Here is a 12,086-nt window from a genome sequence, read left to right as displayed (position 1 = left end):
ATTGCCTGGATTTATTTATAAGCTCTCTACTCTGTTCCATTAGTCTATATGTCTATTGTTACGCTATTCTTATGCTGGTTTTGTTTGTTTGTTTGTTTTTGTTTTAGAGACAGGGTCTTGTTTGGCTGCCCCATGAGGTAGAGCTCAAACAATCCTCTTGCCTCAGTCTCCTGAGTAGCTAGGACTGCAGGTATGCACCAGCACACCTGACTTTTTTTTTTTTTTTTTTTTTTGTAGAGATGGAGTCTTACTATGTTGCCCAGGCTGGTCTCAAACTCCTGTCCTCATGTGGTACTCCCACCTTGGCCTCTGAAAGCACTGGGATTATAGGTTGAGCTACCGTGCTCAGCCCCCATGCTGTTTTGATTACATTAGCTTTGTAGTATATTTTGAGATCAGATAGTATTATGACTCCAACTTGTTCTTTTTGCCCAAGGTTGCTGTAGCTATTAGATTCCATAGGCTTTCCTTATACATTTTTTTTTCTCTTCTTACTGGATGATTTCAAATAATCTGTTTTTGAGTTTCCTTATTCTTCTTGTTGTTCTTGTCTTCTGTTGAAGCTCTGTATGGGATTTTTTAGTTCTGTCATTGTAGTCTTCAGCTCCCAAGTTTCTGTTTGTTAGTTTTTGTCTTTGTTTGTGTTTGTGTGTATGTGTGTTTTACATTTTTCTATCTCTTCATTGCGCTTTTCCTTTTGTTCTTATATTATTTTCCTGACTTCTTATATTGATGTTCTTATATTGATTTCCTGATTTCATTAAATCATTTATCTCTGTTCTTGTAGCTCACTGAGCTCCTTTAGAACATTTATTTTGAATTCTTTGTCAGGCAATTAGCAAATCTTCAATTCTCTGGAATTAGTTACTAGATGTGTACGGTGTTCCTTTGGTGGTGTCATGTCTCTCTGATTCTTCATGATTTCTGTAACCTCATGTAGTTCTCTACACACTTCAAAAAGCAGTCTACTCTTCCAGACTTTTGTACTGGAATTATATATGAAAATCTTTCTAAAAGATTTTTACTTGTCAGGGTTGAGGGGAGCACTGGAGTGTGCTGTTGCACCTGGTCTAGTGGTAGCGGGCAAGAAGTATGGAGGTATGGATATGTTGGGGGGGTGCAGTGTCTTGGGGGTTCAGGTAGTTAGAGTCTGTGACACTGGCAACTGCATGATTCTTGATGGCAAGAAACACAGAGTTTCACAGTAGTTGCAAGGGCTGCTGGGGTCCTAAGCAGTGCCTTTGGGTCCAACAGCCAAAGACCAGAGTTGGGGCCAGTGGTGTTCCTGTGCTGGAGTATGGAGGCTGGCTCCAGCACATATGTGGTAGCAGGGGCCAGCTATAGGCATTCTCACAGTGGCAAGGGTGAGGGTCACGAGCAGGGACTCTGGCTGACCGCAGGTTCATGTGCTGGTGGGAACTGGAGCTGTGTCCAAGCACAGCTATAGGAGCTGGCAGCCTGCATGTCAGTAGTTGCAGGGGCTAACTGGGGGTTATGGACAGGGGTTAGGCCAGCTATGTATGCCTGTGTTACTGTGGAGACCAAGGCTGGCCGTGGGCACATGCACACATCCGTAGCTGCAGAGGTCCTATGGGGGCATGCATGCAGCAGTGAGAGCTGGTAACAGAGGTCAGATGACTGCATCTGTGTGCTCAGCTGCAGGGACTGGAGCTAGGCATGTAAACACAGTGGACAAGGCCAGAAATGGGAGTTGGGCCCAGCTGCTTGTATATACACAGCTGTGGGAGCCAGGACTAGAGTTATATATGAGCCTGGCTACAGGCATATGTGCTGCAGTGGGAGCTGAGGCCAGGGCCTGCAGTGTGGGCCCAGGACCATTTTCAGGCATGTGTATTGTGGCTGCTCTGGGTCCCTGGGCCAAGGCACCTGTTATGACAGCAGCTGGTGTGGTTCCTGGGAGGGAAAAGGAAGATGAGCAGTGGCTCAGGCACCTGGAAACAGCAAAAGCAAAAAGCTGTGGAATCCTCCATGGCAAAACCTGCAGGGCATCCATTGAGGCTGTGTTGGTTGTTGATTTCTTCAGTAGCAAAAGCTGCTAATGTCTATGACAGCGAACACTGCAAAGTCCTCAGCAGTGAAACCTGCAGGGGGTGCCCAGTAACCATGAGGACTATTGAGGTCCTCAGTAGAGGAGGCTGCTGGAGTATGTGCAGAGCAGGGCACTGGGGACCTCAGTAGATTCTGCCTTGTTGGCTTGTGCTGATAGATCACATCCTTCTTCTTTGTTCCTGGCTGTCTCCAGACATCACAGATAATACCAGTCTCCTTAGCAATCCGGGTGAGGAGAAAGTAAATACATTTGTTTGAGCAGTGCCTTGAAAGGCTGTGGAAATTAGTTGTTCACACCATATTCTTCTTCTTTATGAGAGAAAATTGAGAGTCCGGGTGTTCCCTTTCTGTGTTGAGCAGTACAGACCTGGGGGATGGGATGATGTAGGCAAAACACTTTTATCTATTTTGTGTGGTTATTTTGTTTTTTTGTTTTTCTTCCATAGGTATGGCTATAGCTTCCTAAGTGGACTCCTTAGCTCTTCTAGAGTTATTTTTATTTTCATATAGTTGTCTAATCATTATTCTTTGTGGGGAAAATAAAGGCTGAGGTTTCCTACTCCACCATCTATCTTACAGATAAGAAAACAAAAATAACTCTATGGTTAAAAAAAAATTCCAAAAACTTCATTTAAAAAAACTATTTTAGATTGAACTATTGCCCTGATTCTTCTCCCCTACCTGCACTCACACCATTGCCATGGCCTCATTATGGATGTACTTACCCAATTCTTGACTTTGGGCTTGGTCAGATGACTTTCTTTGACCAAAAGTTTCTGTACAGAAATCACAGTTTGCCAGTGTCAAGCCTGGGTCTTAGGAGGATGCACATGTTTGTGCTTATTCTCTTGCACCTCTGCCAGTGATATAAGAGGAAGAAATATCTCTGGCAACCTCTCTGACACAAGGAGAATGAAAGACACTGAAGCTGGAGCACCCACCCTGCCTTCAGTTCCTAACTTGGAAGCAGGATGCTAACTACCATGGACTACAAAGTGCCACCAGTTGAGTCCAACCAATATTAGCCAAGCCCCCAACGACACACAGAAGTACAAGAAGATATGAGTGTTGCTTTAATTCACTGAGTTTTGGGGTGGTTTTGTACAGAACATTGCTGTGATTTCTCAGAATCTTTAATATGCTAGGAGTCTGAGGATGACTCCTTTGGAGGTGGAGTTCTTTCAAACAGCACTGGGAAATGCTAGATTAGAATAAGGTATATCAGCCAGAAATAATCTTTTTCACTAAATCTATCTTAGTTTAATATGTCTTCATTTTTCTGAACAGCAAATGAGCATATTCATATATGCCATATGTTATAGAATGTTGAATAGGTTGCTTCCTATCTACTTGAAAATTTTGGCAAATTCCCCAAAGCTACAGATAGTGGGTAATATATTACACTCACATTAAAAGAGAGCTACAAACATATTCCCACAGAGCTTACTAACAAATGATTAAATTGGTTCTTCAGCTACCAACTACCATCACCCACTTCCAGTCTCTGTTAAAAGTGACTGAAACGTACGTTGAGGAAATTGCTTAAAGGAAATACATATGAGTAGAGAATGCTATGATCTCTTCCTTTCCTACTTACATGGGGAGAGTTTGTCTCTCCACTGCCCCCTCACCACCAAGTGAAGAGAGGTGCGCAAGAGAATCATTCCTAGTGATAGTGATTATCTGTAAAAGGGATGACAAGCTTCTCTATCCCTAACTGCCTGTGATGCCAGTTAAGCTGCAAGGATGTAGGGTATGGAAGAATTCTTAGGAACGACTGGCATTAGTCCCCAGGATTTACGAGTATATATGAAGATAAAGACTGGAACAAGCTTCTCTTGGGAAATTCACTGAACAAGATGCAAGCCTTGGTAACATACATCTTCCATACATCTTCGGAAATCCAGGCAGAGGTTCCCAAACCCCAATTCTTGACTTCCATGCACTCGCAGGCTCAATAGTACGTAGAAGCAGCCAAAGCTTGATGCTTGCACCTCTGAAGCCATAGCCCGAATTCTATGTTGGCCCCTTTCAGCCAGGGCTGGAGTGGTTGGGACACAGGGCACCAAGTCCCTAGGCTGCACAAAGCACAGGGATCCTAAGCCCGGCCAACAAAGTCACTTTTTTCTCCTACGCCTCTGGGCCTCTGATGGGAGGGGCTGCCATGAAGACCTCTGACATGCCCTGGAGACATTTTCCCCATTGTCTTGGGGATTAACATTCAGCTCCTCATTGCTTAGGCAAATTTCTGCAGCCGGATTTAATTTCTCCTCAGAAAATGGGGTTTTCTCTAATATCGCATTATCAGGCTGCAAATTTTCCAAACTTTTGTGCTCTGTTTCCCTTATAAAACTGAATGCCTTTAACAGCACCTAATCACCTCTTGAATGCTTTGTTGCTTAGAAATTTCTTCTGCCAGATACCCGAAATTATCTCTCTCAAGTTCAAAGTTCCACAAATCTCTAGGCAGGGGCAAAGTGCCACCAGTTTCTTTGCTAAAACATAGCAAGAATCACCTTTGCTCCAGTTGCCAACAAGTCCCTTATCTCCATCTGAGACCACCTCAGACTGGATTTCATTGTGCATATTGCTATCAGCATTTTGGTCAAAGCCATTCAACAAGTCTCTAGGGATTTCTAGACTTTCCTACATTTTCCTATCTTCTTCTGAGCCCTCCAAATTGTTCCAACCTCTGCCTGTTACCCAGTTCCAAAGTTGCTTCCACATTTACAGTTATCTTTAAAGCATTGCCCCACTCTACTGGTACCAATTTACTATATTAGTCTGTTTTCATGCTGCTGATAAATACATACCCAACATTGGGCAATTTACAAAGGAAAGAGGTTTAACTGGACTTAAGTTACACATGGCTGGGGAGGCCTCACAATCATGGTGGAAGGCAAGGAGGAGCAAGTCATGTCTTACATGGATGGTGGCAGGCAAAGAAAGAGAGAGCTTGTGCAGGGTTTTCCTGCTTTTAAAGCCATCAGATCTCATGAGACTTATTCACCATCATGAGAACAGCACAGGAAAGACTTGCCCCCATGATTCAATTACCTCCCACTGGGTCTCTCCCACAACACATGGGAATTCAAGATGAGATTTGGGTGGGGATATAGCCAAACCATATCAGCCCTCTTTACTTACTATATTATTTTATAATTAGAATCCTTAACATATTTCCTCTTAGAACAATTTTAAGTGTACAATAGACTATTTTTCTCCATTGGCATTATGGTATACAGTAGATGTTTAGAATTTATTCATCCTAACTGTATATTATACTTCATTCTCATTTTTCCCTATGGGCATAGAAGTACTTACAAGCCAAGAAGATATTTCTCAGTACTCTATTCTGCAGGCTTGGGGAAGACATGATGTGAGTCATGTAAAATTGTTCTTACCATTTTCAATGCGCCTTTTTTTGTTTGTTTCTTTCTGTGCTCCACCCAGTTGCTGTAACTTCTCACCTGGATTCCAGAGCTCTCATGAAGGTATTTTTATCCATGGATGGTTGTTAAATCTGTGTTTCTATAAAAGAGCTGGAACATCTCATTTAACTAAGACTTTTTGTGTATAGAAGTTTTTTTAAAGGTTATAAGTTGTCTAGCTTTTGTGATTTCTTTCCTTTGTTTTGTGCTGTAAAAGTCGTCTTTATAATACAATTTGAAATTTACTTTTTTTATTGTTGTTTTGTTTTTATTTTTTTTTGTTTGTGTTATTTTTGAATAGTAATTCTATACCTGGTTATGGTCCTCATATAAAATACAAAGAAAAAGACATTGGCATGCTGAAAGAGTAGTTTATATCTTTCTGAAATTTGACTGCCCAATTTTGTCTGTTTGAGAATGCAGACAACTGTGTAAACTGTTTATATACTTTAATAAAAATTTAAAGATGCTGTCACACTCAGGAAATCCAAAAACTGTTTGTCTCCCACATTGTTTGCAAAGACTAGCTATCCATAGAGCTTTGCAACCACAGACCTTACCAATTCCCTTAACAACAGGGAATGCATTCCTAATGACTGGTAGTGTGTACTGTGGTCATGTTTGATATGATTTGACAGTCTAAGGTCATTTCTCAGAAGAAAGAAGAAATAGTCCATTTGATAAAGATTTTCTTTCATCTTCTAGTTATGAAATCTTTTACTCTACCTCTTTCTTATTTGGATTTAGTCATAATTTAGCACCTTACAACATTCTGGTATTACACCAGGAAACAATCCTAAAAATAGTCAAAGATGAGGAGCTGAGTAGGAAAATTTTGCCTCATTGTCTCTAACAAGACAACTGTCTCTGACACCTCTTAAATAGCAGAAGAAAACTGTCAAGGGCCTCTCAGCTAAAAGATTCCCAGGGGCTTCACCAAAATGCCTTAGTATCCTAAATAACAGGACTTTTGTCTAGTTTGTAGCATATGTTTCTTATCTTTTTCTTGATTTGTGGGGTCTGTGAAAATCAGTAACATCTAATTCTATTGTAGGGTTGAGGAAATAAATCCAATACAATGGATAAACCATAAAAATGGTTAAAATCATAAATGTATATATGCAACAGAGGCCTAATGGAAAGGTCAAATCTGTGAGCACACTGTGAACTCTGGCTTGTCATTTCTTTTAATGCAAATGTATGGCCTCCTCAGAAAAATTGTGAAAGGACCATGAATTCTGACAGTTAACTTCAGAATCAACCAAGAATCTATACAGGATAGGCACCAGAAATTCCCTTTGTTTGTCTTATTTTACCACAATATACACATTAAAACAAGCAACAAATTTATGGAATTTATCTCCTAAGAAATGTGTAAGCTCATCCACTCTATTGCACTTGCCATTTTTAGGATGAAGGCACCATTCTCTCTCAACTGTATTAATGTAATAGGCTCCAAGCTACTTCACCCAGTCTCCAAGCTTGCCATTTAATCTAGCCATACAAGTTAAAGAATGATCTTCCCAAACACCAATCTTGCAATAGCACATTTCAGGGGCTCCATTTTGCTCTTTTTTTTTTTTTTTTTTTCTGAGACAGAGTCTCTCTCTGTTGCCCAGGCTGGAGTACAGTGGCGCGATCTCAGCTCACTGCAACCTCCACCTACTGGGTTCAAGTGATTCTCCCACCTCAGCCTCCCCAGTAGCTGGGACTTCAGGCCTGTGCCACCATGCCCAGCTAATTTTTGTATTTTTGGTAGAGACAAGGTTTCGCCATGTTGGCCAAACTGGTTTCAAACTCCTGACCTCGGATGATCTGCCCACCTCGGCCTCCAAAAGTACTGGGATTACAGGTGTGAGCCACTGCGCCTGGCCCCATTTTGCTCTTTATATGAAATCTAATTGTCTTAAAATACCCTCAAAATCCTCAGGATCTGGCTAACCTCTCCAGTCTTCTCTCTTCTCAGTACTTGAAATGCTTCAGCCATCCCAAAATTCACTCAGAACTTTACACATGTCATACTCTTTTATTCTCCAGGTCTTTGCTTCAGACTTTTCTTTCCTCTTTGAAAACTGTATTCTCCCTGCAGCCATCAGTCATACCCATGTTTGCACACATCATTTGTCTATGGAGAGCTGATAAGTCTCACCTTACCAACCACTTTCTCCAAGAGCCATCATCAGACTCTCCAAATCAGAGTTAATTGCCTCTCCAATGTGCTCCCCTTAGTACCCTGAATCTCTAGCATATCATCCTGGATGATAATTACCTGCCTTTTTAAATTTCCTGTACCTAATTGTGAACTTCTTGGGCAGAGACTGTAGCTTTCATGTTCGTCAGCATAGGCTTGATGTGTACTAGGTGTTTAATCATTATTCATGTCCTAGCTCAGTAGAAAACTCATCCTGTCTTTGGCAAAAGGCAAGGTTTTCATCTTGAACAGCTTCTGTTAATGAGGCAGCTGATGGTAATATTGTCCAATTAAGCCCCAGGGAAATCTGCTTGAAATGACTTGTGAGAGAAGGCTGTAAGAGATCTATAGATGCCACTTAATTATGGAGTCTACATTAGACCTGGTTAAAAAAAATAGAAATGCAGGTGAGGAGGAGGGCTCAAATACTGGGTCAAAATATCAGGGTGATGAAGGGAGAAAGAAGCTCTGCCTTGCATCCATGGTTGAGGACTCATGGTGATGAGCCAACTCAATCTCAGTGCCAGAGCTGGATATATCAACAGCAGAGCCACGACATATCAATATAACACAGGAAAAATGCAAGGGGGACATTTTTGCAGATCAAAGGATGAAAAGTGAAAATCAGGAAATAGGCAGAAAAGAAGATTTAAAAGTACCACAGAATGCAAACGTGCTTACTTAGAATAATGTGAAGGAAAAGAAGGTATTGGGTGTCCTTGGAATCCCACCCAGTATTCCACAAGGTGAGGCTCAGAGAGAAAGGCAATTTCCACCCTTATTGCTTTTGTAATCCACGTTCTTTGAATAATACTCGTAAGGTTTGGCTGTGTCCCCACCAAAATCTCATTTTGAATTGCAGCTCCCATAATCCCCACATGTCATGGAAGGAACCCGATGGGAAGTAACTGAATCATGGGGATGGATTTTTCCCATGCTATTCTCATTCTAGTGACTAACTCTCATGAAAGCTGATTGTTTTATAAAGGGCAGTTCCCCTGCACACACTCTCTTGCCTGCTGCCATGCAAGGCGTGCCTTTGCTCCTCCTTTACCTTCCGCCATGATTTAGGCCTCCCCAGCCATGTGGAACTGTGAGTCCATTAAACCTCTTTTATTTATAAATTGCCCAGTCTTGAGCAGTTCTTTATAGCAGTGTGAGAGTGGACTAATACGAATATATCACACAACGGTGTAGTTTTGAAGGAAGCACGTGATCCCAATGTGTATAACTATAAATTCACCTATTTCACAATAACAGTAACTTACAGCACTTATTGAGTAAGCATTTACTTAGAGGTAGTGTAAAGTACTTACACGCAGCATCACATTTATGGTAGGATGAATAGTGGCACCTAAAATTATCTGCATCCTAATCCCAGAACCTACAAATGTTTCCTTATATGGCAAAAGGAGCTTTAGAATGTCATTAAACTAAGTATATTGATGCACACCTATGTTTACTGTGGCACTATTCACAATAGCAAAGATTTGGAACCAACCCAAATGCCGATCAATGATAGACTGGATGAAGAAAATGTGGCATATATACACCATGGAACACTATGGAGCCATAAAAAAGGATGAATTCATGTCCTTTGCAGGGACATGGATGAAGCTGGAAAACATCATTCTCAGCAAACTATCACAAGAACAGAAAGCCAAACACCACATGTTCTCACTCATAAGTGGGTGTTTAACAATGAGAACATACACAGGGAGGGGAACATCACATACTGGGGCCTGTTGGGGGTTTTGGGGTTAGGGGAGAGATAGCATTAGGAGAAATAGCTAACGTAGGTGACAGGTTGATGGCTGCAGCAAACCACCATGGTATGTATATACCTATGTTAACAAAACTGCACTTTCTGCACATGTACTCCAGAACTTAAAGTATAATTTAAAAAAAAGAAAAGTATGTTGAAATGGGAAGTCAATCCTGGATTATTTGAGTGGGCTCAAATATAATCACAAGGAATGTAGGTGGTCACTAGCAGTTGAAAAATTGGGAAAACAGATTCTGCTCCTCAGAGCCTACAGAAGGAACCAGCCCTACTGACACCTGACTTTAACCTAAAGAAACGGTTAAGAATTCTAAGTTCTAGAACCACAGCATAACACATTTGTGTTATTTTATGCCACTAAGTTTGTGTTAATTTGCTACAGTAGCAACAGGAAAGTAACACAGCACTTACTCCTCACAACCACTGAATGTAGAAACTGTCATTATCTCTTTTTATAGGTGAGGGACTGGAGGTACAGGAAAGTTAACTAAGTTGACAGAAGTAGGATCCAGTCCAGGCAGTTTGATTCAAAAGTCCTTGTCTTTAGCCACCATGCTATATTCCATGATAAGAAAATTGACTGGCTCGCTGTGTATACATCTATGGTCCATCCAACCACAACATTGGTTAATTGGATTTTTTAATTAACCAATTTCATAAATATTCAAAAACTGAAATGCACATTTTTTAAAGGAAACTGTTTGGAAATGATTTCAACCGTTTTTAAGTTTCTAAGAAATATTATGAGAAATAGTCCTGCAGGAGGAACCAGCCCTACTGACACCTTGACTTTAATATTCCTGATTATTTCTCATAATGAAGAATAATTACTCCTTCTACTGTAACAAAGATTTTGAAAAATTATCCTAAGATATTAATTCACTAGCTATTATAATCACATTATTACTATATTCACACAAATAATGTACTCAATTGTAATTAATGTATGATTCTGTTCCAAGAAAAAAAAAGCTATAAAGAAAATGTATATTAGAGACTTGAACTTAACAAGTTAGCAGACATGAATTTAAGCAGCACATTTGCTCTTTAGAGTGTAACCTTTAGCAAGCAATTTAACCTCAGTTGATTCCCTTATCTATCAAATGTGGAGTTTGCCCTATCAGCCACCTTCCTTTCCTAAGATTCTGTGTGTTTGTGATTCTATTTGTTCTTCAAGCTTGTTGGTGATACTGGATTTTTCCATATAAAAAATTACATCTTTGCCCTGTCCTTAGCATACTATTCCAAATTTGATTTTAAGCAGAAATCCATCCTTTTGGTCCATTAGTAACTTCTTTTAGCCTGTTGGTACTCTTCGACTTAATAGCAGATAAAGGCACTTCTAGTGCCATTTCCTGTGGAACCAAAATATGATGAAGGAGGCAGAGGAGCATAAAGTATCTTCAAATATTTTTGCCTAATATCTCTCTAATCCTCAAAATAACCCTTGAAAATAAGTGTATCCTCCTAGTTCAATAGATGAAGAATGTAAGAGACTATTTAATAAGGACTTTTAAGTTAAAAGTGGCAAATATCCTGACCACCAATCCTTGCTTTTTCCACAATTTCATACTATATCATATAAAGTAGTAATAGCTTCTGTATGTTGAATACTGCAGAAGATTTAATTTTCTAAAATAATCACACAATATATGCACTCCCATCCCACATGCTCTTTTTATAATGTGAATGAAAATCTCCCATCAATAGATCAGGTTCCATTTTTCTCCTACTTGAATCCAGCAAGGGCTTGTGGCAGCCTTAATTAACCCACAGAGCATGGCAGTATGATGTCATGTGACTTCGCAGGCTAGGTTACATAAAGGATGCAGCTTCTACTTGGTGCTGTCTCAAGAAAATTACCCTAGCAAACCAGCTTGCTGTGAGGAAGCCTAAACTAGCCCTCACTTAGAGAGCTGATGTGCAGAGATACTAAGGCCCTCACATGACAGTTAGCATCAACTCTAGATGTATTGGTAGATGATTTCTTCAGATAATTCCAGCCTCCAACTTCAAGTCTTCCAGCTGAGGCCAAAGACATTGCAGAGCAGACATGAAAATTGAAATATTAAAATGTACCCTGACTTGTAGACTCACACAATCCATTAGTATGGGTGTTTCATACCATTACATTTTGGATAATTTGTTAGGCAGCCCTGGAATAAATATGTATCATGTGCACAGTACCTTAAAATTTTCCCAGATTGCAGACCTGAAAACAGTCTCCAAGAGATTATGTGACTCACACTGAACCACACAGTTAGTATCTGAAGACTAACTTAAGCTTCAGATGAATCCCAATGGATTAAAACACAGGTTGTGTTTTATTTCCAAAACTTATAATGCTGAATTATCTCCTAAGAGAAACCCAGCTTGGAAATTGTTGAATTCTAACTTTATGGATACTCACTAGCCTATAGAAAAATACCACATTTCAGTACAACATTAAATTTTTGATAATTGATAAATCTAAGACCATTCTATACATGCAATCTGATATACTAATAAACAAACAAAAGAATAAAATATGCTGGGAGAAGACCACATTATTTCTAGATCATTTATAGCTTATACCCACTTTTATTTGTTAATTTATCTATTTTCATTGGTT

General features: G+C 40.0%; 1 long non-coding RNA gene across 1 annotated transcript in view; it reads left to right on the top strand.

Moving 5' to 3' along the window:
* Positions 1-12,086, top strand: part of ADGRL3-AS1 (ADGRL3 antisense RNA 1) — a 90,011-nt gene that overhangs the window by 29,155 nt on the left and 48,770 nt on the right. Inside the window, exon 4 of the long non-coding RNA NR_110595.1 lies at positions 5,524-5,564. This is a non-coding gene — a long non-coding RNA (ADGRL3 antisense RNA 1). The remainder of the gene's footprint in view (positions 1-5,523; positions 5,565-12,086) is intronic.

This window comes from Homo sapiens, chromosome 4 (genome assembly GCF_000001405.40).
Source record: "Homo sapiens chromosome 4, GRCh38.p14 Primary Assembly".
NCBI classification, from domain to species: domain Eukaryota; kingdom Metazoa; phylum Chordata; class Mammalia; order Primates; family Hominidae; genus Homo; species Homo sapiens.
The sequence above is the reverse complement of the archived record's forward strand: the minus strand, read 5'-3'. Positions and strand labels throughout refer to the sequence as shown.